The sequence below is a fragment of the Homo sapiens genome, chromosome 11 (genome assembly GCF_000001405.40).
Source record: "Homo sapiens chromosome 11, GRCh38.p14 Primary Assembly".
Taxonomy (NCBI): domain Eukaryota; kingdom Metazoa; phylum Chordata; class Mammalia; order Primates; family Hominidae; genus Homo; species Homo sapiens.
In genome coordinates this window covers 4,033,325-4,060,643 of record NC_000011.10, presented here as the reverse complement: position 1 = coordinate 4,060,643, position 27,319 = coordinate 4,033,325, and the positions used below count along the sequence as shown (strand labels likewise).

The window sequence follows — 27,319 nt, the reverse complement described above, 5'->3', positions numbered from 1 at the left end:
AGAGACTACGCCTTACATAAAGAGTAGAACCATTCACTGTGTCGTTATTCAAAACCTACCAATGAAGGTGAGTAAAATGTGTCCTAGAACCCTCCACTCCCCCAAAAAAAAGGTGGCAAAGGAAGTGGAAACATTAGTCTTCTCCCAGGTTGCTCTGTTTCATACTTTCAAAAAGTATGGATCCACTTGTATTGAGACATCAACTTGCACATTAGCCAAGCCATATTCACAGACAGGGAAATGTTATATGGCCTCTGACCTTGCCTGCCAGCTGCTTCTCTGGACTGTTTCCTGGTTCAATAGCATTCTTCTGCTGGCACCCTAAATCGAGGCCAGCCATTCCCAAAGGGCAGGAAGTGGGCCCTAAGATCCTGTTTGGTTGAAAATAGTTTTCCAAGAAATCTCACTACTTTTTGCTCCCCCTTGGTTAACTTAGAATTAGAAAAAGGATTACAGGCTGGCCGTTCCTACCACATAGATCTGTAGAGACTGAACAACCTAATTCTCTCAACTAGACCCTGGCTGAAGAGACCACCCTTTCTTAGGCCTGAGTGTGTCTACTGCTTCAGTGAAAACCCACTTAGTCCTCCTTGGTCATTCAATAATACAAAGATGTTCATTAATCAGTTCATGCACTCTACATGTCTACAATAACCCACTGTCATTATATATATATAAACCTGCTGATATGCTATTGAAATGAAATATAGAAGTAGGTAACAGGTAAAAAGCTTTCAGCCCATAGGGGGTTACTTCTATCCCTGAGCATACTTTTCATATTTTAGCTTTTGTACTCTTGCTCAGGTTGTTTACTCTGCCTAGAATGTCCTATTCTGCCACCTCCATAGAATAAAGCTCTATCCACCCTTAAAGGCAGAGGTAACATGTCACCTTGTCTATAGGATACCTTCACTAGCCCTCATCTGGGCCTCAGAAGTACTGTGTACCTCTACAGAACACTCATGTTGTCCCTTCAGGGCAGAACATGATTCATTCCAGGTCTTCCTACAGGGTCCAGCACAGCATTGGCACAATGCAGATATTTCCTTAAAGTATTTAATGAATGCATGTTGCTACGTGTCTGGACTAAAATGTAAGACTCTTTCATACCTTAATACCAGTGGAAATAGTATAGGTGCTATCTTGCAGGTGTGCCTAGGAGACCCAGAGCCTTAGCCTTAGCCTATCCACTACAACAGCTTTGGTTTCCATGGCACAGCAGTAGCCCTTCTCAACACAAGACTCACAGAGAGGAGGCCCAAAGAGCACTGTATCCAGAGCCTTCAGCTGCAGCTTCTGCCGATGACTCCGGTCTGTCATCTTCAGCACAGTCCCTGTCATGGTGGTGTTGGTGACAGCCAGCCTGTTGAGGCAAAGAGTAGCAGATCAGTTCCCTCCCAGTAAAGCCAGGAAGGATCCTGGTAGGATTACCCGCCTCCCCCAGGAACACTTCTAGCTCTTGGTGATTGCTCCCCTCTGCACTCTAGAACACAGAGTCTATACCAGTTGGGTCTCAACAGGGTATATGGAGAGACACATAACATTTACCAAGAATTTGTTCAGCCCTCTCCCCATATCCACCAACTTCTAAGCACCCTATCCTCTAAGGATTACCTGTCTGTGACCATTCCCACACCCAACTAAATTTTCTGTTGTGCTTCTCCTTCCAGGGTTTATCCTCTACATATTTTCCCCACCTCCTACCATTTATAAATGCATTTCCTGTGCAGCCCAGGTCAAACTGTCATGTCATATGACCCAGTGATTCTGGGATTTATGAATTATCCTAATCTAAACTCACTGTCATTATATATAAACCTGCTAATGTGCTATTGAAATGAAATATAGAAAAGGAAAAAAAATTTTAATTAACCACTGATGACAAAAATGGAATTAGTCCTGTTAGCTTGTATTTGAGTCACTGCAATACAAGTTACCTCCAATAAAATTACTGTAATTTTTTATGACCTCCACCCATACTGTCAGTGATAACTTTAATAAGAGAAAGCCTGTGAACAAGAAAATGACCTAGGAAAAATGGAACTTTGTTTCTCTTCTGCTGGAACACAGTGGATATAAGAGGAGGGGGGTAAAAGATATGAAAGGTTGAAAACCACTGGTCTAGGTCCCACAAGTAAGCACTTAATTCTATACTACTCTATAAGATTGGTGCTCTTTTCTGATGCATAGCTTTATTTCTCCAGCTAGAAAAGAAGCTTCTGACATCACAGTGTGATTTATACTCCTGTCTGAGCATACAGGAACAGCTACTTCCTTCTCTGGCCTTGGAAAGCAATCAAGCCCACCAGTAAGAGACGCAGTGAGGCACTGTGATGGGGTGTGGGAGTGGTTAGGAGATCTGGCTTCTCATTTCAGCTCTACTAGTGACTCATTTGTCTGATCATAAGTTGCTTTGTTCCTCCCCGAGGACCTCAGTTTCCTACTGTGCAAACTTATGTAAAATCAGATGCTTCCTACAAGCCTGGGAGTTCTTGGGGTTCCTCTTTGAAACACTTGTGCTGCAGTTCGTCTGACTAATGAGAATAAACATTGTCGTCTTTTCTACAGTCTATTTCTCAAAGAAACCTATGAACTGGAATGCTATCTACTTGTAAGCAATGAAAGAAATGAGAAAGGAGCTAACACTGACTAAGCAACTACTGTGTGTCTGCTACTGTTCTGATACTTTACATACAATACCTCATTCAGTCCTCACAACAACCTTAAGAACTCAGTTCCATTATTAGTGTCACTTTCTTTTTTTTTTTTTTTTTGAGACGGAGTCTCGCTCTGTCGCTTAGGCTGGAGTGCAGTGGCGCGATCTCAGCTCACTGCAAGCTCCACCTCCCGGGTTCACGCCATTCTCCTGCCTCAGCCTCCCGAGTAGCTGGGACTACAGGCACCTGCCACCACGCCTGGCTAATTTTTTGTATTTTTAGTAGAGACGGGGTTTCACCATGTTAGCCAGGATAGTCTCGATCACCTGACCTCGTGATCCACCCACCTTGGCCTCCCAAAGTGCTGGGATTACAGGTGTGAGCCACTGCACCCGGCCTAGTGCGACTTTCTAGATAAGAAAATGGAGACTTAGAGTTGAGTAACTTGCCCAAAGTCACACACAAGTAAGTGGCAAAGCCAGAGAATGAACTCAAATCTGCTAGATTATTCTCATTATACCATGTGAGCTAGTGATGGGCCTAGAACCACCCTCACTTCACCCCAAGCACTGAAGGCCCCATGCTTCCTGCTGTCACTAAGGTGCCACAGCTTGACATCCCCTACACCTGTGCCCAGCCTGGCTGGACCTGGTCTTGGCTGTAATTCTAGCCACAAAAAAGCTAAGTGAACCAGTGACCTGAGAACTGACTTCTTATCCTATGCTTTGCAGTTTTAATCCAAGCCAAAGATATCCTTCCCATGAGGAAAATGGTCCAGGGATCCACAAGGCAATATTGCTATTTCTATGGGTAGCAAGAAAGAAACCTAAATCCTGGATCTTAGTGGTCAGTCATCTACTTTTCCATTAAACATGGAGTTCCTCAAGTCAGGGGTCAGGTCTAATACATCTCTTTGTCCTCTGGGCCCACCAGAGAGTATGGCACATGGTAGGTGCTTAGTGAAGTTTTGTAAAATAGAACTAAACTGAATATTGAAAGGAAGCCTATCTTTAACCACATGGCACAAGAGGAAGATGCAGTGAAAAAAAGCAGGGCATTTAGAACAAGACAGACCTGGGTTCAAATCCCAGCTCTGCCACTTACCAGCTTGGATAAATTATAAAATATTTGAGATTCAGTTTGTTCACCCAAAGGTTGGGATACTCTTCCTCCCAGAGTTGTGAGAATCAACTGAAATAATATGTAGGAAAGCACTCTATAAAGGGAGGTACAAACATTAAGATTATTACTCTCTCCAGAGCAGAGAGAAGCTGTGAAGAAGAGGCTGCAGGCAGCAGAGGAGGGAACAGCCAGCTCAGCTAGGCCTGGACAGCAGTGCTCAGTAGCTCTGTGGCTGGAGACTGCAAAGTGTGGGCATTCCAACAGCTTCACCTTCCCCTTTCCCCTTTGCTGAAGCTCAAAACCAGATGCACCTACATAATAAGATGACAGATTATACATAATCAGCACTTACCAGATAGTAAGCCCTTTGAGGGCAAGGACAGCTTGTTGTCATCTTTATCCCTAGCACCCAGCACAAGTGCTTGGCACAGAGCAGGTACCCAGTAAATATTTGTTGGATGAATAAGTAAATGGATTAATGACTGAATGGCATATGGCACTAGTTTGACATGACAAGAAGTCCAAGCAGTACTCCATCCCCTTCCCACTCCCAGCCCAAGCCCTAGCATATTCAGCGTGTAAAGTAGGCAAAGAGTTATGAAACAACAGCTGTTGGAGCCATCCCAGAGATGAGGCTGGGGCCAATGGCAATCAGCCTCTCCTCTGTACCATTTTTATTATAAATAAGCTGTATATGGATAACCCAGGGGAGGCTAAAAGAGCCCTGAGGCTCCCGGGTGATAAAAGAGGCAGCTGCTCAGGGCACAGGAAAAAAAGAAAAAAGAAACACCAACAGGGTTTGATGTACACCAAGATTCAAATCTCAGTTTTGCCCCTAACTAGTCATGTTTGTGACCTTGGATAAGTTACTTAACCAGTTTCATCATCTATATACAATAATACCCACCTTACAGGACTGATGTAAGAATTAAATGAGATACTGTATACAGTGTTGAGTAGAATGCCTGGCATGTACTAAGCACTCAGTAAATGGCAGCTATCAGTACTATTCCCAGGACTGACAGGAATATTAAAGAAGAGAGTGGATACAAAGCGCCCATCATACTTTATAGCAAGTGCACAACAGATGTGAGAAGAGGCAAGATCTATAGACGCTGCCCTGAAAAAGGCAGAACCTCACTTAACTGGCCAGAGCAATCTGAAGGCAGGCCCACTCCAGCCCATTCCCCGTACCCTCAACAGAGAAAAACCCAGTCCCCTCCTGACCTTGGCATGGCATGGCCACTGAGCTGCAGCTTCCGGAAGGTCTCCTCATACTGAGGCAGCTCCACATATGTGATCAGCCACTGTACCACCTCATCCACGGTCCAATTGTATACTGTGAAAAGAGACAAGCAAAGCCATGACTCTAGAATGCCAAGCACTGCTTTCATTTGTTGTCATGCTGACCTTAATATTTACCACATTTGTGTGTTTAATATCTATCTGTCCCATAAAATACTAAGTATGAAAGGAGTATACACTGTGAGTCTATTTATATGAAATCCTAGAAAAGACAAATCTATAGTGATAGAAAGCAGATCAATGGTTAGCTGGAGCCAGGAAGGGAGCTGGGGACTGACTGGGAAAAAATCACAAATGCAACATTATAAGGTGATGGATATATTCTATATCTTGAATGTGGTGGTGGTTACACAAATGATAACATCTGTCAAAATGCATCAAACTGTACATTTAAAATAGGTGTATCTTCTTTTATGTAAATTATAACTCAATAAATTTGATTTTGGAATATTTTTAAACTGTTGTGACCAGGGTTGAGAATCAATTATCCATCCATCCATTCGTCCAGCTATTCAACTGAGCATTCATAAGGGGACTACTTAGTGCCAAGCCTGGAGGAAGTTAGTTCCCAATCCAGTGGAAGAGATCAAAAGCTAAACAGCATGAGTGAAGCACAGATTCTGATGAGAAAAATACATACGGCACAGAGAAGAAAGGAAATAACTGCCTAGGGCTTCAGGGACAGCCTCAGAGAAGATGATGTATTGCAACATAAAGGATTAGTAGAAGCTTATCTCAAATATTTCATGGGTGTGGGGAGAGGAGGGCACTCAATACAGAATGAAGACAGGTGCAAAAGAAAAGATGTGAAATTTGATGTGTGTGAAACAGCAGTCCCCAACCTTTTTGGCATGAGGGACTGGTTTCATGGAAGATGATTTTTCCATGGACCTGGGCAGGGAGATGGTTTCAGCATGAAACTGTTCCACCTAGATCATCAGGCATCAGTGAGATTCTCATAAGAAGCACGTAACCTAGATCCCTCACATGTGCAGTTCATAATAGGGTTCGCACTCCTATGAGGATCTAATGCCACTGCTGATCTGACAAAAGGTGGAGTTCAGGCAGTAATACTCCCTCACCCACCACTCATCTCCTGCTGTGCAGCCCAGTCCCTAACGGGCCATGGACTGACACAGGTCCGTGGCCCAGGGGTTGGGGACCCCTGGTCTAGAATATAGAATATATGGCAGGTAGTGGCAGAAGAAGGTTGAAGCCATGTCACAAAGAGTCTTGACTACCATGCTAAGATAGCTACTAGTATTGTCCTGGGATAAGCCTAACTCAGGTTGCTCTGGCCAGTTAGGTGAGGCCCAACCCTTTTCAGGACAGAATCTATAGACCTCTCCTCCTCTCACATCTACTGTGTGCTTAGTATAGAGCACACTGGGCACTTTATAGCCATTCTCTTATTTGATGTTATTCAGAGCTGCACTGTCCAAGCAGTAGTAGCCAGTAGCCACAGTGGCAATTTAAATTTATTAAAATTAAATAAATTAAGAATTCAGTTGCTCGATGGCACTAGCCACACTTCAAGTGCCCAATAGCTAGATGTGGCTAGTGCCTACCATATTGGACAGCATAAACTATACAACATTTCCATCATTGTAGAAAGTTCTGTTAGACAGCACTGGTCAAGATAATCTAATATAGGCCGGGCATGGTAGCTCACACCTGTAATTCCAGCACTTTGAGAGGCTAAGGCGGGAGATTGCTTGAACTCCAGAATTCAAGACCAGCCTGGGCAATACAGTGAGACCCTGTCTCTATTAAAATTTTTTTTTTTCTATTTGGTCGCCTGGTTTTTCTTTCTTTCTTTTTTTTATTTTATTATACTTTAAGTTCTAGGGTACATGTGCACAATGTGCAGGTTTTTTACATATCTATACATGTGCCATGTTGGTGTGCTGCACCCATTAACTTGTCATTTACATTAGGTATATCTCCTAATGCTATCTCTCCCCCTTCCCCCCACCCCACAACAGGCCTCAGTGTGTGATGTTCCCCTTCCTGTGTCCAAGTGTTCTCACTGTTCAATTCCCACCTATGAGTGAGAACATGCGGTGTTTGGTTTTTTGTTCTTGCGATATTTTGCTGAGAATGATGGTTTCCAGCTTCATCCATGTCCCTACAAAGGACATGAATTCATCCTTTTTTATGGCTGCATAGTATTCCATGGTGTATATGTGCCACATCTTCTTAATCCAATCTATCGTTGATGGACATTTGGGTTGGTTCCAAGTCTTTGCTATTTTGAATAGTGCTGCAATAAACACACGTGTGCATGTGTCTTTATAGCAGCATGATTTATAATCCTTTGGGTATATACCCAGTAATGGGATGGCTGGGTCAAATGGTATTTCTAGTTCTAGATCCTTGAGGAATCACCACACTGTCTTCCACAATGGTTAAACTAGTTTACAGTCCCACCAACAGTGTAAAAGGGTTCCTATTTCTCCACGTCCTCTCCAGCACCTGTTGTTTCCTGACTTTTTAATGATCACCATTCTAACTGGTGTGAGATGGTATCTCATTGCGGTTTTGATTTGCATTTCTCTGATGGCCAGTGACGATGAGCATTTTTCCATGTGTCTGTTGGCTGCATAAATGTCTTCTTTTGAGAAGTGTCTGTTCATATCCTTCGCCTACTTTTTGATGGGGTTTTTTCTTGTAACTTTGTTTGAGTTCTTTGTAGATTCTGGATATTAGCCCTTTGTCAGATGAGTATATTGCAAAACTTTTCTCCCATTCTGTAGGTTGCCTGTTCACTCTGATGGTAGTTTCTTCTGCTGAGCAGAAGCTCTTTAGTTTAATTAGACTCCATTTGTCCATTTTGGCTTTTGTTGCCATTGCTTTTGGTGTTTTAGACATGAAGTCCTTGCCCATGCCTATGTCCTGAATGGTATTGCCTAGGTTTTCTTCTAGGGTTTTCATGGTTTTAGGTCTAACATGTAAGTTTTTAATCCATCTTGAATTAATTTTTGTATAAGGTGTAAGGAAGGGATCCAGTTTCAGCTTTCTACATATGGCTAGCCAGTTTTCCCAACACCATTTATTAAATAGGGAATCCTTTCCCCATTTCTTGTTTTTGTCAGGTTTGTCAAAGATCAGATGGTTACAGATGTGTGGTATTATTTCTGAGGGCTCTGTTCTGCTCCATTGGTCTAGATCTCTGTTTTGGTACCGGTACCATGCTGTTTTGGTTACTGTAGCCTTGTAGTATAGTTTGAAGTCAGGTAGCATGATGCCTCCAGCTTTGTTCTTTTGGCTTAGGCTCTTTTTTGGTTCCATATGAACTTTAAAGTAGTTTTTTCCAATTCTGTGAAAAAATTCATTGGTAGCTTGATGGGCATGGCACTGAATCTATAAATTACCTTGGGCAATATGGCCATTTTCACGATATTGATTTTTCCTATCCATGAGCATGGAATGTTCTTCCATTTGTTTGTGTCCTCTTTTATCTCATTGAGCAGTGGTTTGTAGTTCTCCTTGAAGAGGTGCTTCACATCCCTTGTAAGTTGGATTCCTAGGTATTTTATTCTCTTTGAAGCAATTGTGAATGGGAGTTCACTCATGATTTGGCTCTCTGTTTGTCTGTTCTTGATGTATAGGAATGCTTATGATTTTTGCACATTGATTTTGTATCCTGAGACTTTGCTGAAGTTGCTTATCAGCTTAAGGAGATTTTGGGCTGAGACGATGGGGTTTTCTAAACATACAATCATGTCATCTGCAAACAGGGACAATTAGCCAGGTGTGGTGGTGCACACCTAGAGTCCCAGCTCCTCAGGAGGCTGAGGTGGGAGGATCACTTGAGCCTGGGAGATTGAGCCTGCAGAGAGCCATGATCACGCCACTGCACTCTAGCCTGAGTGACGGAGTGAGACTGTTGCAAAACAGATAAAAAAAGATAATTTATGGCCAGGCAGTGGTTCATGACTGTAATCCCAGCACTTTGGGAGGCGAAGGCAGGTGGATCATCTGACCTCAAGAGTTCAAGACCATCCTGGCCAACATGGTGAAACCTCGTCTCTATTAAAAACACAGAAATTAGCCAGGCGTGGTGGTGCATGCCTGTAGTCCCAGCTACTCGGGAGGCTGAGGCAGGAAAATCGCTTGAACTCGGGAAGCAGAGGTTGCAGTGAGCCGAGATTGCGTCACTGCACTCCAGCCTGAGTGACAGAGCAATACTCCATCTCAAAAAAAAAAAAAAGACAATTTACCATTAAAGTGTTTTGATTCTATATTTATATTTTGGAAATAAGCTAAAAGTAAAAAGCAAAAGTTTATTCTGTATCATCTAGATATATAAGAATACAGGCTCTCAACTTCAGTGCTCATGTTGCATTTGTGTTTATAAGTGTGTTGATGCAAAATAGTTACAGTGACACCGTTCACCTTTAAACAATGCAGGTTTTAACTTCCTGGGTCCATTTATACATGAATTTTATACATGGATTTTTTTTTCAATAAAAGGTATACTGAGTGTGCCTGCTTCTCCCACCTCCCTTCCTACCTTCTCTATCTTTTCTGCCTCTGCCACCCCTGAGACAGCAAGACTAATCTCTCTTCTTCCTCCTCCTCCTCAGCCCACTCAATGTGAAGATGAGGATGAAAACCTTTATGATGATCCACTTCCACTTAATAAACAGTAAATATATTTTCTCTTCCTTATGATTATCTTAATAACATTTCCTCTTCTCTTACTTTATTGTAAGAATACAGTATATAATACATATAACATATAAAATATGTGTTAATAGGCTGTTTATGTTATTGGTAAGTCTTCTGGTCAACAAGCTATTAATAGTTCAATTTTGAGGGAGTCAAAAGTTGCAAGTGGATTTCTGACTACATGGGGGAAAAGGGACAGTCAGCACCCCTAACCCCTGTGTTGTTAAGGCTCAACTGTATTTTCCTGGAATTTTAGGACATAATGTACTTCATAACAATAATATATCTCAAATTTAAATATTTTAATACAAAAGAACCCAGAGGTCAAACTGATGTTTTTACACAAAATATACATTCATAATTGCAATTCAAAAAGACAAATATTACCCACTAAAAGATATAAACTGTCTTTTAGTTTAATTCAGACAAGAACTGTCCCAATTGGTGCATCCCCAGAGAGACTAATGTAGTATAACAGGATCACCTATTACGATCTATCTGATAGCACTATAATGAACATGGTTCACTTTTGCCACCAAGCATCCACTTCCCTTTTTGGTGGCAACAGTATTCTGAATTTGTATGAACAGAACCACTCCTCCCTTGCTCTCAGCTAATATGCTTCAGGTAAAGCTAAATCAGCCTTTAAAAGTAGAGTATGTAACCCAAGCTAAACCAATCAATACATTCCATCTTTCTGCCCATAGTGCTTAGTTCAGGGATGAGTACATAACCCAAATCAAGGCTGAAGAAACTGAATTCTAAAATTTTTGTTTGGCCCATAGGGGATATGCTTGCTTTTCCACTATACTGGTGTCTGGGATAAAATGAACCTGAACTATAATGTTAATAACAACAACAATAATAATAATAGTAATAGAAGCCATCTCTTACATAGCGCTTAGTCTATGAGAGTATTGTTCTAAGTACCTCACATATATTAACTCACTAATCTTCATCATTTTCATATGAAGTAGATATCCCATTTTATCCCCATTTTAAGGATGAAGAAACTAAAGCACAGCAAGCTTATATAACTTTCCCAAAGTTACCCAGCTAGGAACTGGGAAAGCCAAGATTTGGTCTCAGGCAGTCTGGCTCCATCATTCACGTTCTAAGCATGTGTGTGTGTGTGTGTGTGTGTGTGTGTGTGTGTGTGTGTGTGTGTGTTTGGGCAGGGGGGTTGTGTATACAACCTCCCTGATGCTGCTGGAAGCCTTCATACAGAGGAAAAGCTGAGTCAAGATCCAGATGACAGGCCAGGCACAGTGACTCACGCCTATAATCCCAGCACTTTGGGAGACTGAGGCAGGAGGATCACTTGAACTCAGGGGTTTGAGATCAGTCAGGGCAACATAGGGAGACCACATATCTACAAAAAATAAAAAAAAAAATTAGCCAGGTGTGGTGATGTGAACCTGTGGTCCCAGCTACTCAGGAGGCTGAGGTGGGAGGATGGCTTGAGCCTCGGAGGTCGAGGTTGCAATAAGCCGCGATCATGCCATTGCACTCCAGCTTGGGCAACAGAGTGAGAGCCTGTCTCAAAAAAAAAAAAAAAAAATCCAGCTGATATAATTTAAGCCCTGAGTCAGATAATGCCTGTAGAAAGTCCTATTCATAGATATTTCAGTTTTGTGCAAGAAGTACATTCTCCCTTTTGCTTATATCAGATTGAAAGGATTTTCTGTCATAACAGGAACCAACTCTAACTGAAACAACTGAATGGTCATTTGCAACATGGCAAATTGCATCATCACCATACGTGGAGCACTAGAGCTAGTGATTCCTCAATATTATAATGTGATGTTTTTAATGAATAGTCATAAAAAGTACCCTTTTAAAATAATTTATAGGCCAGGTGCAGTGGCTTACGCCTGTAATCCCAGCACTTTGGGAGGCCGAGGCGGGCAGATCACCTGAGGTCAGGAGTTCAAGACCAGCCTGGCCAACATGGTGAAACCCCATCTCTACTAAAAGAACAAAAATTAACTGGGCGTGGTGGCGGGCACCTATAATCTCAGCTACTCAGGAGGCTAAGGTAGGAGAATTGCTTGAACTCGGGAGGTGGAGGTTGCAGCGAGCTGAGATCGTGCCACTGCACTCCAGCCTGGGCGACAGAGCGAGACTCTGTCTCAAAAAAAAAATTAATAATAATAATAATAATTTTTATATCTGTATTGTGTTTAAACACACAGAAAGCAAATTTATCTCTATACTTTGTTAAAAGTCAATTATGAAGGAATAGAAGTAGACTTAATACACAATACACAAGGAATAGTTCCAGCCCAGTGAAGGTCAAATGAGATCATGAATCAAAGTTTCATGGTAGCTTAAATAAAGAAAAATGGTGGGAGGAATGAGTCATCACATGGTACCCAGCAATACAGATATGCTGAACTTAAAAAGAGCCTGGAAGCAACTGATTTTCAGCAAAAAAGCATCATTTTATTGGATCTGAAGTTTATTTTTACTTAAAGTATAAATCTGTTTTTGTTTACACTTATATACAAATTTTACACAGTGACTTAAACTTTGTTCTATGTTTGTATATACTTAAATAACATTATAATAAAAATAATTTAAGTCAGCACTGCAGGTCCAAGATGTATTATTTACCTTAAAAGGAATTTGTACATTCTTCAAGTTTGAAAACCACTGCTGTAAGCAGCAAGAAGCCAAAAAAGTTTTGAAGTTGAATGATACGGTGAGATTCATCACTGTCCTCTCATAAGATCCATATCTTTTTTCTTTGAAGACACAGGTCTTGGCCAGGCACGGTGGCTCAACACCTGTAATCCCAACACTTTGGGAGGCTGAGGTGGGCAGATCATGAGGTCAGGGGATCGAGATCATCCTGGCCAACATGCTGAAACCCTGTCTCTACTAAAAATACAAAAAAATTAGCGGGGCGTGGTGGCACGCACCTTCAGTTCCAGCTACTTGGGAGGCTGAGGCAGAAGAATCACTCGAACCTGGGAGGCGGAGGTTGCAGTGAGCTGAGATCACGCCATGGCACTCCAGCCTGGGTGACAGAGTGAGACTCCATCTCAAAAAAAAAAAAAAAAGAGAGACAGGTCTTGCTCTGCCACCGAGGCTTGAGTGCAGTGGCATGGTCACAGCTCACTGCAGCCTTGAACTCCTGGGCTCAAGAGATCCTCCTGCCTCAGCTTCCTGAGTAGCTAAGACTACAGGCATGTACTACTACCATGCTAGGCTAACTCTTTTTTTGTCTTTGTCTTTGTCTTTGTTTTGTTTTGTTTTGTTTTGTTTGAAAAAGGGTCTTGCTCTGCCACCCAGGCTGGGGTGCAGTGGCACGATCTCAGCTCACTGAAGCCTCCGCCTCCCAGGTTCATGTAATTCTCCTGCCTCAGCCTCTGGAGTAGCTGGGATTACAGACACATGCCGCCACACCCAGTTAATTTCTGTATTTTCAGTACAGATGGGGTTTCACCATGTTGTCCAGGTTGGTCTCAGACTCCTGGCCTCAAGTGATCCTCCCACCTTGGCCTCACAAAGTGCTGGGATTACAGACGTGAGCTACTGTGCCTGGTCAAATTCTTTTACTTGTTGTAGAGATGGGGTCTCCCAATGCTGCCCAGGCTGGTCTAGAACTCCTGGCCTCTGGCAGTCCTCCAGCCTCAGCCTCCCAAAGTGATAAGATTATAGGCATGAGCCATCAGACCTGGTCTAATTTCCCTTTAATAGGCAGAAAACATTGAAGGCACGGAATGTGTCCTGTTCATTTTTGCTCATCCACTGTTTCTGAACTAAGAGCTTCATATACAGTGGCATCAATAAGAACTACTCTAAATGAGGGGTTCCAGAAATGATTTGATGTGGGCCTCAAAACAACAACAACAAAACCTCCTTAGAAAAACATACAGCTCACGTGGATAAGTAACTTCTGAAATGCTTGTCAAAAAACAGGCATTTGGCCAGACATGGTGGCTCATGCCTATAATCCCAGCACTTTGGGAGGCTGAGGCAGGAGGATCACTTGAGGCCAGGAGTTTGAGACGAACCTAAGCAACACAGCAGACTCCAACTCTACAAAAGAAAAATAAAAAAATTAGCCAGGCCTAATGGCACATGCCTGTAGTCCCAGCTACTTAGGAGGATGAAGTGGGAGGATAACTTGAGCCCAGGAGTTCAAGGTTGCAGTGAGCCATAACTGCACCATTGCACTCCAGCCTGGGCAGCAGAACGAGACCCTGTCTCAAAAACAAAGAAAACAAAACAAACAAAATCAGGCATTCCTCTCAGCCCAGGATGTGATGCAAAGCAGATAATCAGGGAGACATCCTGAATAAAATAAAGTTGAAGGCAAGAATGCTCCAATCTCTTAATGTCCTCAAGAAGATGCTGGAGTTCAGAAGGAAAGCTCTGAAGCTGAGTGCCTTTGGGGGAAGATTAGACTATTTGCAGAGGCATGGGAGGTGAGAAGGGAAAGGTGGCAGGGGAAGGAAATGAGGCAGACACAGTGTGTCCAGGAATGCATCCTAGGAGACAAGATACTAGAAGCTTAAGTGAAGGGTGCTTAGTCAGTGCTTGGTTATATTTCTAATTCCCAGACTAGAATATGTTGGAAGAAAAAGATAAATTAATTTCCAAGAGATACCGTTGAGAAAAGAAGGATGACAGAGCTGGGGTTAAATTAGTGTTGAGGGGTGGTGCGTGCCTGTGATCCCAGCTACTTGGGAGGCTAAGGCATGAGAATCACTGGAACCCAGGAGGCAGAGGTTGCAGTGAGCTGAGATCGCACCACTGCACTCCAGCCTGGGCGACAGACTGAGGCTGTCTCAAAAAAAAAAAAAAAAAAAAAAAAAGGTAGCTCACGCCTGTAATCCCAGCACTTTGGGAGGCCGAGGTGGGTGGATCACTTTGAGGTCAGGAGAGTTCGAGACCACCCTGGCCAACATGGTGAAACCCTGTCTCTACTAAAAATACAAAAATTAGCTGGGCATGGTGTCACGTGCCTGTAATCCCAGCTACTCGGGAGGCTGAGGTGGAAGGATCACTTGAACCTGGGAGGCGGAGGGCTGCAGTGAGCTGAGATCTCACCACTGCACTCCAGCCTGGGCAACAGAGCAAAACTTCGTCTCAAAAAAAAAAAAAAAAAAAAAGAAGTGTTGAGGGATGGACTTGGTGGCTCATGACTATAATCCCAGCACATAGGGAGGCTGAGACAGGTGGATCGCCTGAGCCCAGAAATTCAAGGCCAACCTGGGAAATATGACAAAACCCATCTCTACAAAAAAATATTAAAAAATTAGCCAGGTGTGGTAGTACATGCCTATAGTCCTAGCTACTCAGGAGGCTGAGGTGGGAGGATCACGTAAGCCTGGAAGGCAGAGGTTGCAGTGAGCTGAGATTGCAACACTGTACTCCAGCCTGGGTGACAGAGCAAGACCCTGACTCAAAAAAAAAAAAAATGCTGATGGAAGTTAAATGGACTAGAACGTATTATTCCTGAAAATGAATATATATCCTAACGCATTGCAGATGTTATCATTTACTATGGTCTGGAGTGTCAGGTAATGAAGGCATAAGAGAGTGACACACAGATATAAGGCAGACAGACAAGTGCTAGCCTGTAAAGTACAGAGAACAACACACTCCTGCCACTGCTGCCAAGGGAAGTCGACCTCATCCAGCACAAAGGGGCCTTTCTGCTTGGAGTGTAGTGGAAAGAAGGCTACTTTTTTATTGCTAGAAGGCCTGAGGCCAGCAGTACATCAAGGGCCTTTTGTCTACTGGGAGGATGCCTTGATACAAGTCTGGGCATAGAATCTTGGCATGCAGAAACTCCTCTATCAGCACCCTACACCACAGTGGTGACAGGCAGAAGTCACTCTAGACCAGAGTTTCTGAGCCTCTGCCCCAATGACATTTTAGATGAGATAATCCTTCGTTGTGGAGGCTGTCCTGTGCATTGCAGGATGTTTAACAACATAGATGCCAGTAACATGCTGCCAATCATGACAATTAAAAAATGTCTCCAGATATTGTTCAACATCCCATGGAAGGGAAAAACTGCCCCCAGCTGAGAACCACTGCTCTAAACACTGCATTAAGTGAGGCACGGGGTTGCCAAGGGGGCCAATACACTCCACTGAAGATGGACTCTAGAATAATCGCTCCTACATAGCTAAGCTGTAGGGGAAAAGGAGAATAGCTTCAGCATGTCAGACCAAACCTCAAGATTGTTTTGGTTTGTTTGTTGTTGTTGTTTTTATCTGCATATATCATTCTGTTACCTAGGCAGATGCCCTATCTAGGTAGGGTTTGGCAGCATGGTGTCCACCTGGAGTCACTATAGTCTGAACAAAACAAGCCAGGATGAGCTGTATCCTCTATAACATCTGTATCTCAGATAGCAACCCTGAGTTCCAGCATGAAGATCTCATTCAACAGACCAGCTGATATATCAGGGCTCCCTGTCCCCAAGGTTCAAGCACCTAAAAGTTAAAAGTCTTGTTCTGTTTTCCATTCCAAAGAGAAGATAGGAAGAATCCCTGGGCCAGAGTGAGGAAGAAGGCAACAGCAAGTACAGAGAGCTGTGGCTATCAGTGACAGGCTGCAGAATTTGGCAAGGAGAGCTTAGTACAGATACAGACTCCAAATGACTCATATGTCCAAATCCCAGGAGGACATGCAAGCAAGAGTCAATGTCCTAATGTCATAAGTCTCCCATCCCCTGAGCCTGTCCATGTGGCCCCTAGCCAGATCAAAGACTACACCTCTGGGCAAAATGACAAACAATGCTACACCGAATCAGAGAAGGCTAACCCCTGGAGTTCTACACAACAAACCATCCTTCACAAGAGAGACACACAGGGTGACTTAACTCCTATCTTTTTTTTCTTTTTTTTTGAGGCGGAGTCTACTATGTCGCTAGGCTGGAGTGCAATGGTACAATCTCAGCTCACTGCAACCTCCGCCTCCCAGGTTCAAGCGATTCTCCTGCCTCAGCCTCCCGAGTAGCTGGGATTACAGGCACGTGCCACCACGCCCAGCTAATTTTTGTATTTTTAGTAGAGACAGGGTTTCACCATGTTGGCCAGGATGGTCTCAATCTCCTGACCTCGTGATCCGCCCACTTTGGCCTCCCAAAGTGCTGGGATTACAAGCATGAGCCACCACGCCCAGCCATCTCCAATCTTTTTAATGACATAATCTACCTGTAAAAAAAAAGCTTTGTACACACATTGCCAATATACGTATATGTGTTTATAAATTAGATTCATTTACTAACATTAGATAGATTGTAAAACACACATAAAAATTAAACAATGAGATAAAAATAAGTACAACATAAATACCACCTCTAGTATCTTCTTCGAATGAACAAATGATGGCAATCTGTGGGTCCTGGATCACTTGTTGTCCATCCCATCAGTATTTATATTATGTTTTCTCACAAAAAAGTATCACTTACCCCCACAGACTACTTACGGAGGTAAAGGGGGGAGGTATAAAAAAATTAAAAAGTACTAATGACACATATCCACAAAGAATCCCAGAAACTGGTGTCCAGTTAGCATCTTGGGTAGTAAAGATATACCCTGGTCTCCATACTATGTTTTATAGAAAGGAACAGACCTTTTATGATTAAGAACAATTTTCATGTAAAAATCAATAAAACCTCCTGTTTTATTCTGAGGTAGCTACAAAAACTAAAGTTATTAAAGACTGCCAAACCCCTGGCATTTTAGAACACTGATTTTTTATTTTAGGATATATTACAAAAAAACACTGAATTTGAAGCTGGAAGACCTTGCCTATCCTATCTGCCATGAACTAGCTTGCGTAAATCACTTAACCATTATGAACCTCAATTTCCCCTTCTGTAAAATATTCATTTTGCTATTCAACAAGCATTTATTTCGTTCTATTCTGAGACCAGGCACTAGGAATAGAGCGGTGATCAAGAGAGAGATCCCTACTCCCATGTAGCTTACAATTTAGCAATATCTGTCTCCCAGAGTTGTTGAATTAAATGAGTTAATGTGTTTGAGATGCCTAGGATTTAATACAAACTCAGTAGTAACTTTTTCTTCATATGTACCTTCATTCAAAAAGGGGTAGATATTAAGGACTGGTCAGAATCTGGATGGACAGAGATGCAGATCTGCCAGAAGAAAGAATCGTGAACAAAGACAAAGAGCTATAAGATGTGAAGCATGCTCAGAGAACACTGACTCTAGTTTGTCTGGAGTCCAAGAGTTATATATAGGGTCAAGGAGAATGAGGTATTGCTGACACCAAATGACAAAGGTCCTTGAAAACAAGTGGTCTCAAACTCCAAAATAATATATTCATTAGGGGGAAAAAACATTTATTGAGCAGCTACTACTTGCCAGGCACCACTCTAGGAGTAAAGATACAACAATACACAAAACAGTCACAGATCCCATGGTGCTTATATTTTGGTGGAGGGAGACAAAATAAAACACTATAAACAAATAATTATATGTCAGATGGTGATAAGTATAATAAAGAACAATTAAGCCATAAGGGGTTAAGGGGATAAAAAATAGTCCTATATTGTATTAGGTCAGATTAGGGAAGGCCTCTCTGATGAAGTGATATTTGAGCAGAAAATGAAATAAAAGGTATGAGGCATGTGGACATTTGGGGGAAGGGCATACCAGGCAGAAGGAACAGTATACTCCCTAGCACTTGAGCTATAGCAATACATCCAGGGATGTGCCAGGGCAAACACTTGGCCTTGGCCAATCTTTTCTCTTGGCAGGGAAGGAATAATAGTAAATGGATTCCCGAATCAGTATCTCTTTCCCATAATGGACCTGTGGTGCCTCCAGACGAAGCCCTCATCTACTTTTGTGGTTTCAAATCCACATCTCAAGAGAATGAGGTCTGGCAGGAAGGTTGCCAGTACTTTCTTTGCCCCTCCTTCACACAGCTGTTAGTTAGTTGGTCACTTAGCCTTTAGTCAGCTAGTCAGATATAGCACAGTGGTTAAGAATGTGAGCTTTGGCCAAGCACGGTGGCTCACACCTATAATCCTAATACTTTGGGATGCCAAGGCAGGAGGATCACTTGAGGCCAGGAGTTCAAGACCAGCCTGGGCAACAAAGTGAGACCTCGTCTCTACAAAAAATAAAATTAGCTGTGTGTGATGGCGCGCACCTGTAGTCCCAGCTACTTGGGAGGCTGAGGTGGGAGGATCACCTGGAGTTGAGGCTAGAGTGAGCCAAGATTGCACCACTCCACCCTGAGTGATAGCAAAGATCCCATCTCAAAAAAAAAAAGAAGAATGTGAACTTTGAAACCAGGTGTCTTGATTTGAATTTGCAATCTGCCACTTACTAGATGTAAGACCATGGGCAAATTACTTAATATTTTGTGCCTCATTTTTTTCACCACCAAAATGATGAAAATCAGAGTTTTCACATCATAAAAATGTAGTAAAGGGAAGCTCCTAGCATACTATAAGTGTAAAAAAAATCATCTATAATTATTATCGCCATTCATTTATTCATTCATTCACTAAGCTTTTATTGGCTTCTACTCTAGCAGGTAAAGGGTGAGTTAACCAGCACAGAGGTGAATATGCATGAACTCCAGCCTCAAGGGCTCTCTTCTAGAGAGGGGAATATACAAGGAAACAAATGAATATAATATAGTGTGATAAATGCTAGGTCACAGGGATATATAAGGTGATGTGGGAGCACAGAGAAAGGAGTGACTGACAGAATCAGAAAAGGCATCACAAAACCCAGCTTCTTATTGGTCTGCTCTGAATAACAGCACTCCAAGGCAGCTATCAAATCCTTCCAAAGTGGCCCTTCCTAAAGATAGTGTGTGACCTGGAACTGTGAATTGTCTCTTTAAGTAGCTTCCTTCTGGTTCCCACTAGCAGCTTCTCATCTGGGACTACAGTGAGGTAAAGGTCTTCATTTTCTAATCTGATGTCATTATCAAACCCTGAACCATCATTGCAAAAATAATCTGGCCTAGGCCTCATGTGATAGGCTCACTAGGCTACCAGGCAAAAACCAGGTCTCCCAGGGCCCAACAGGACATGCTATTAAAGACCACCAAGAGAGAAACCACAAGGTTAGTAGAGACAGATTAGAGAAGTCTGGCAGCATGGCTGCAGAGTAGTAAGAGAACCTAGGTGCTATGAAATGTTGGGTAGGCCAAACAACTTATCTAAGATCACACAATCAAACAGTCAAGGACACATTTTTGTGTGCTGCATTCCTACTCTGGGCCAGGCCCTGTGCTAAGTATTAAGAGATAAAATCATATAAAATGCTGCACTCCAGTAGTCTGATGGGAAAACCGGCAGTGGAACAGATCTTTGCATTTAGTGTGCTAAGGGCTGTGAAGAGATAGGGGCTGTGGGAACACAGAAGAAGACACCTAACTTAGCCTGTGGTTTTCAGGGAAGAAGACTTAAAGAAATGATTAATTGAGTTTTAAACAGATCAACAAATGAGAAAGATGAATAGAGGAAACAGCATATATGAAAGCACCATGGGATGAAAAAGAACAACATTTCCTAGGAACTGCCAATAAAGCAGTGCACTTCCAGAGGAGATGTGGTGTGGAATGATGGAAAACAAGTAGATCAGAGAAATAAGCATGGACCTTGTATGCTAAACTCATCTAGCACAATGCCTAGTATATAGAAGGTACTCAGTAAATTTTTAACACAGAAATGTTTACATAAATTATAGGAGAAAAACACTACCTTCTAGGGCCAATACCACAGAGGTAGATAAGGAATAACAGAGAACTACAGCATTAAAATATAAATAAACTCTCAAGATATAAAATACCATCAGGGCTGAGCACGGTGGCTTACACCTGTAATCCCAGCACTTTGGAAGGCCGAGGCAGGCAGATCACATGAGGTCAGGAGTTCAAGACCAGCCTGGCCAACATGATGAAACCCCATCTCTACTAAAAATACAAAAAATTAGCTGGGCGTCATCGTGGGCACCTGCAAACCCAGCTACTTGGGAGGCTGAGGCAGGAGAATCACTTGAACCTGGGAGGCAGAGGTTGCAGTGAGCCAAGATCACGCCACTGTACTCCAGCCTGGGCAACAGAGTGAGACACCATCAAAAAGTACAATATAATAAAATAAAATATCATCAGATTTTTATTTATGTGTACATATTACTCTTTTCTCCCAGATAAGGTAATTCATTTTGAGATTACAGATGGACATTTAATTTCAATACATCTGACTAACATCTCACAGATAAACATGAAAAAAAAATCACTGACATTTTCTTTCTTTCGTTTTTTTTTTTTTTTTTTTTGAGATGGAGTCTTACTCTGTTGCCCAGGCTGGAGTGCAGTGGCATGATCTCAGCTCACTGCAACCTCTGCCTCCTGGGTTCAAGCAATTATCTGCCTCAGCCTCCCGAGTAGCCGTGATTACAGGTGCCCGCCACCATGCCCAGCTAATTTTTGTATTTTTAGTAGAGACGGGGTTGCACCATGTTGGCCAAGCTGATCTTGAACTCCTGACCTTGTGATCCACCTGCCTCAGCCTCCCAAAGTGATGGGATTACAGACATGAGCCACCACGCCCAGCTTCTTTCTTTTTTTCAGAGATAGGGTTTCATTCTGTCACCCAGGCTGAAGTACAGTGGCATGACCATAGCTCACTGTAGCCTCAACCTCTGGGGCTCAAGTGATCCTCTCACAGGGCTGGAATTGCAGGCATGAGTCACCACACAGAGCCAACATTTTCTATAATTTTTTTTCATCAAAAATTACTAAGCTTTGGATATCTTATTCTGTTGAGTCTCAAATGAGACAGCAGTTGTGATCTAAGCTTATCGCTACTCCTACACAAGCTGAAGGGTTATCCGACCAATAGGAAAGCCAGTATTTATTCTTTCAAAATAACATGATTACTATTTATTGCTATACAGGTATTTACTTGTAACATTTTTAACAGTATCTTTATTTCTCCAACTTCCATTTGAGAATATTTCTTACACCCAGAAATTTGATGCCCTAACTTGTTTGTTTCATGTATGAGAGAAAAATGGGAAAACTCTGAAAAATGTAAGCAAAGACCTCGTCAGATCTGGAACCAAGTGAAAGATACATAGCAGTAGAGCTAGGCTGGGCCAAGAATAATGGTATATGAAGAACAACGGCCCAAGCAAAAGAAGATTCAGCTGACACTTCTGTTTCAGGGTAAGCTGAAGTACCAGAGATGGAATTTACCCTCCCTCCTGAATTAAAATTACCCCTCCCAAAAAAGACAACATATATGAAATAATGGTTTTCAGGACACTGGACATCAGCCTACAAAGGACAATGACTCTTGAGAGATAGGAAACAAATGAGGGAAGTTATACAATTGCCCCAGCTTATGGCCTTGAATTTCCAAGCCACAGTGCAAGGATTAAAATCTAAGCTTGAGAGAGGGAAATGAAAATACACTACTGGAAGCTTCTTTTTTTTTTTATTATTATACTTTAAGTTTTAGGGTATATGTGCTACTGGAAGCTTCTTATACTACATGTGACATGTTATAATATATCTTGAAAGTAGGCCCAGTGCAGTGGCTCAGATCTGTAACACCAGTACTTTGGGAAGCCGAGGTAGGCGGATCACCTGAAGTCAGGAGTTCGAGACCAGCCTGACCAACATGGCAAAACCCCATCTCTATTAAAAATACAAAAATTAGCTGGGCGTAGTGGCATGCACCTGTTATTCCAGCTACTCAGGAGGCTGGGGCACGAGAATCTCTTGAACCCAAGAGACAGAGGTTGCAGTAAGCCAAGATCACACCACTGCACTCCAGCCTGGGTTACAAAGCAAGACTCTGTCTCAAAAAAAAAAAAAAGACTGTGATGAGTTAAAGATACATATCTTTTATCTCCTAAAGCAACCACTAAAATACCAGTTATATCTAATAAGCCAACAAAGAAAATACAATTGAATTATAAAAAATACTGAATTAACCCAAAAGAAAGCAGAAAAGGTAGGAAAAGGAATTAAAGAACAGATGGGACAAACGGAAAACAAATAGCAAGAAAATGGACTAACCTAAATTATCTTATATTAATAATCATATCAATCATATTTGATTAATCATATTAATAATCACACCAAACGTAAATGGTCTAAATAATGCAATTAACAGATATTGTCACATTGCAAAATATACATATATATATATAGGACCCAACTATATGCACCTACAGGAAATGTACTTTAAATATAAAAATACAAATAGATTAAATGTAGAGGGATGGAAAAAGACATTCCAAACTAACAACAGTCAAAAGACAGCTATATTTTTATCAAAGTAGATTTCAGAGCAAAGATTACCACGAAGGATAAAGCAGTTCATTTCATAATGTTGAAGGGGTCAGTTAATCACTAAGAAATAATCATCCTAAATCTTTATGCACCTAGTAACAGAGCTTCAAAATACGTGAACCAGAAACTACAAGGAAAAATAGGCAAATCCACAGTTATAACTGGAAACTTAAATACTCCTCTCTAACAATTGATAGAACAAGTATGCAGGCTGGATGCAGTGGCTCACGCCTGTAATTCCAGTACTTTGTGAGGTTGAGGAAGGCAGATCACTTGAGGTCAGGAGTTCGAGACCAGTCAACATGGTGAAACCCTGTCTCTACTAAAAATCCAAAAACTAGCCAGGGATGGTGGGACACACCTGTAATTCCAGCTACTCAGGAGGCTGAGGCAGGAGAATTGCCTGAACCCAGGAGGCGGAGGTTGCAGTGAGCCGAGATCATGCTACTGCACTCTAGCCTGGGCAACAGAGCGAGACTCCATCTCAAAAAAAAAAAAGAAAGAAAGAAAGAAAAGAAAGGAAAAAGATAGAACAAGTAGGTGGAAAATTGATAAAGATATGTAGACTTGAACAATACCATCAACCAACATGACCTGATTTTCTCCCACTCTGTAGGTTGCCTGTTCACTCCGATGATAGTTACTTTTGCTATACAGAGGCTCTTTAATTAGATCCCATTTGTCAGTTTTTGCTTGTGTTGCATTTGCTTTTGGCATTTTCATCATGAAACTTTTGCCTGTGCCTATGTCCTGAATGGTACAGAATGGGAGAAAATGTTTGCAATCTATCCATCTGACAAAGGTCTAATATCCAGAGTCCTCAAGGAACTTAAACAAATATACAAAGAAAAAATAAACAACCCCATTAAAAAGTGGGCAAAAGACATGAACAGATACTTCTCAAAAGAAGATATTCATGCGACCAACAAACATATGAAAAAAGCTCAACGTCACTGATCATTAGAGAAATGCAAATCAAAACCACAATGAGATACCATCTCATACCAGTCAGAATGGCAATTACTAAAAAGTCAAGAAACAACAGATGCTGGCAAGGTTGCAGAGAAAAAGGAACACTTTTACACTGTTGGTGGGAATGCAAATTAGTTCACCATTGTGGAAGACACTGTGGTGATTCCTCAAAGATCTAGAAGCAGAAATACCATTTGACCCAGCAATCTCATTACTGGGTATACACCCAAAGGAATATAAACCATTCTATTATAAAGATAAATGCACATGTATGTTCACTGCAGCACTATTCACAATAGCAAAGACATGGAATCAACCCAAATGCCCATCAATGAAAGACTGCATAAAGAAAATGTGGTATATATATACCATGGAATACTATGCACCCATGAAAAGGAACGAGATCATGTCCTTTGCAGGGACATGAATAGAGTTGGAAGCTGTTATCCTCAGCAAATTCACGCAAGAATGGAAAACCAAACAGTGCATGTTCTCACTTGCAAGTGAGAGCTCAACGATGAGAACACACAGACACATCAGGGGGAACAACATACATTGTCAGGGGAGTGGGAGGAGCGAAAGCATCAGGAAGAACAGCTAATGGCTGCAGGGCTAAACACCTAGGTGACGGGTTATCTGTGCAGAAAACCACCATGGCACACATTTACCTATATAACAAACCTGCACATCCTGCACATGTACCCTGGAACTTAAAAGTTGAAAAAAAAAAAAAAAAGCAAAACAACAAAAACAGACCTGATTGACATTTATAGAACTCTCCACCCAACAGAACACATACAAGTGCACATGGGATATTTAACAAGATAGACCATGTCCTAGGACATGAAAGAAAAAAATCTTAAAATTTTTTAAAGGCTTCAAGTCACATAAAGTATGATCTCAGATCACAATGGAATTAAATTAGAGATCAATAACTAAAAAAGTCTAAAAAAAATCTCCAAATGTTTGGAAACTAAATAACTTGCTTCTAAATAACTTGTGAACTAAAGATGTCAAAAAGGAAATATAAAATATTTTGAGCTAAGTCAAAAAAAAAAGCACAACATTTCATCCAATATAATGATAAACCAATAACGGATGGATCTAAGGTCTAAAACAGATTTTAAAGGTATGCATTTCCAGGGCAAAAAGAATCTCTCAAATTAGAACATATTATTAAGGGATACTAAGTTATTGAAGATTATATCAGGAAAAAAAGTAATAGGAGAACATTTGCCATTAATTGTGTCTTCACTCTAGGTATTTTTATTCGTCTGCGCTACTAATAAATCAGTTGGAAAAGAGGAAAAAAAAAAAAAAACACAATACACCAGAATTTGGGACATGCCTCTAAAGCAGTAGTTAAGGGAGATTTACAGCACTAAATTCTGTATTAGAAAAGAAGAAAGGTCTCATACTGGTGACCTTAGTTTTCACCTTACCAAACTAAAAAATAAAAGAGCAAATGATATCCAAAGTAGCAGATGAAAGAAAATAATACAGATCAAAGTGGAAATCAATGAAATAGAAACCAGAGAAAAATCAATAAAACCAAACACTGGTTCTGTAAAATTAACAAAGATCTAATAAGACCAATCAGTAAAGAAAAGAAGACACAAATTATTAAGATCAGTAATGAGACATTATTACTGATTTTACAGACATTAAAATAAGGCAATTTTATTAACATATACCAGTAAATTTGACAACACAGGTGAAATAGACAAATTTCTTGAAAGACACAAAGTACCTAAGCTCACTCAAGAAATAGATAACCTGAACAGCCTTATACCTATTAAAGAAATTGACACTATAATTAAAAACCTTCCCACAAAGAAAACTCTAAGCTCAGTTAGCTTCACTGCTGAATTCTATCAAATATTTAAGAAAAAATAATACCAATTCTACATGAACTCTTCAAAAAAACTTGAGGAATACTTCATAATTCATCCTATGAGACAAACATTATCCTGATACCAAAAACAAAGACATTTTAAGAAAGCTACAAACCAGTATCCTTCATGAACAAAGACATAAAAATTTAAAACAAAATTTTAGCAAATCTAATCCAACAATACAGTGAAAGGATAATACATTATGACCAAGGGGATTTATCCCAAGAATGCAGGGTTAGCTTTACACTCAAAACTCAGTCACTGTAATTTATCAAATTAACAAACAAACAGAAAAACCATGCAATCATCTCAATAGACACAGAAAACTCCTTTGATAAAATCCAGTATCTATGCCTGATAAAGGCTCTCAGCAAACTAGGAGTAGAGAGGCACTACAAAAAACCCACAGCCAACATTATATATATATATAATTTTGTTATTTTATTTTATTTATTTATTTTTCCGAGACAGTGTCTCACTCTGTTGCCCAGACTGGAGTGCAGTGGCACAATCTTGGCTCACTGCAACCTCCGCCTCCTGGGTTCAAGCGATTCTCCTGCCTCAGCCTCCCAAGTAGCTGGGATTACAGGCGCCCGCCACCACAACCAGCTAATTTTTGTATTTTTAGTAGAGATGAGGTTTCACAATGTTGGCCAGGCTGGTCTCAAACTCCTGACCTCGTGATCCACCCACCTCAGCCTCCCAAAGTGCTGGGATTACAGGCATAAGCCACCGCATCTGGCCCAACATTATATTTTATGGTGAAAGACTGAATGTTTTCTAAGATCAGAAACAGCCAGGCACAGTGGCTCACGCCTGTAATCCTGGCACTTTGGGAGGCCGAGGCGGGCAGATCACGAGGTCAGGAGATCGAGACCATCCTGGCTAACACGGTGAAACCCCGTCTCTACTAAAAATAAAAATAAAAAATTAGCTGGGTGCAGTGGTGGGCACCTGTAGTCCCAGCTACTCGGGAGGCTGAGGCGGGAGAATGGTGTGAACCCAGGAGGCGGAGCTTGCAGTGAGCCAAGATCATGCCACTGCACTCCAGCCTAGGCGACAGGGCGAGACTCCGACTCAAAAAAAAAAAAAGATTAGAAATGAAACATGGATATCTGCTCACCTCATTTCTCTTCAACACTGTACTAGAAATACTATCCAAGGCAATCAGGCAAGAAAAAGAAAAAAAAAGCATCAGATTGGAAATGAAGTAAAACTGTCTTTATTGGCAGATAAACATGACTGTCTATGGAAAAAAATGTGATGAAATCTACTAAATGAGTTTAGCACTTCATAGAATATACATTTTTAGTTTAAACTACTTTAAAGTTCATATGGAACCAAAAAAGAGCCCGCATCGCCAAGTCA

General features: G+C 41.4%; 1 protein-coding gene across 22 annotated transcripts in view; it reads right to left on the bottom strand.

Moving 5' to 3' along the window:
- Positions 1–27,319, bottom strand: part of STIM1 (stromal interaction molecule 1) — a 238,607-nt gene that overhangs the window by 32,567 nt on the left and 178,721 nt on the right. For 20 of the 22 annotated variants that reach the window (NR_168437.1, NR_168436.1, NR_168438.1 and 17 more), the window contains 2 exons: positions 5,007–5,118; positions 1,248–1,363 (listed from right to left, as the gene is read on the bottom strand). The exons of 1 other annotated variant lie outside the window; for it this stretch is intronic. Coding sequence is in view for 18 of the 21 variants with exons in the window: in NM_001382578.1 (NP_001369507.1) it covers positions 1,248–1,363; positions 5,007–5,118 (228 nt within the window). In the remaining 3 variants the exon portion in view is untranslated. The remainder of the gene's footprint in view (positions 1–1,247; positions 1,364–5,006; positions 5,119–27,319) is intronic. One more of the 22 variants, NM_001382571.1, reaches the window with a different exon arrangement.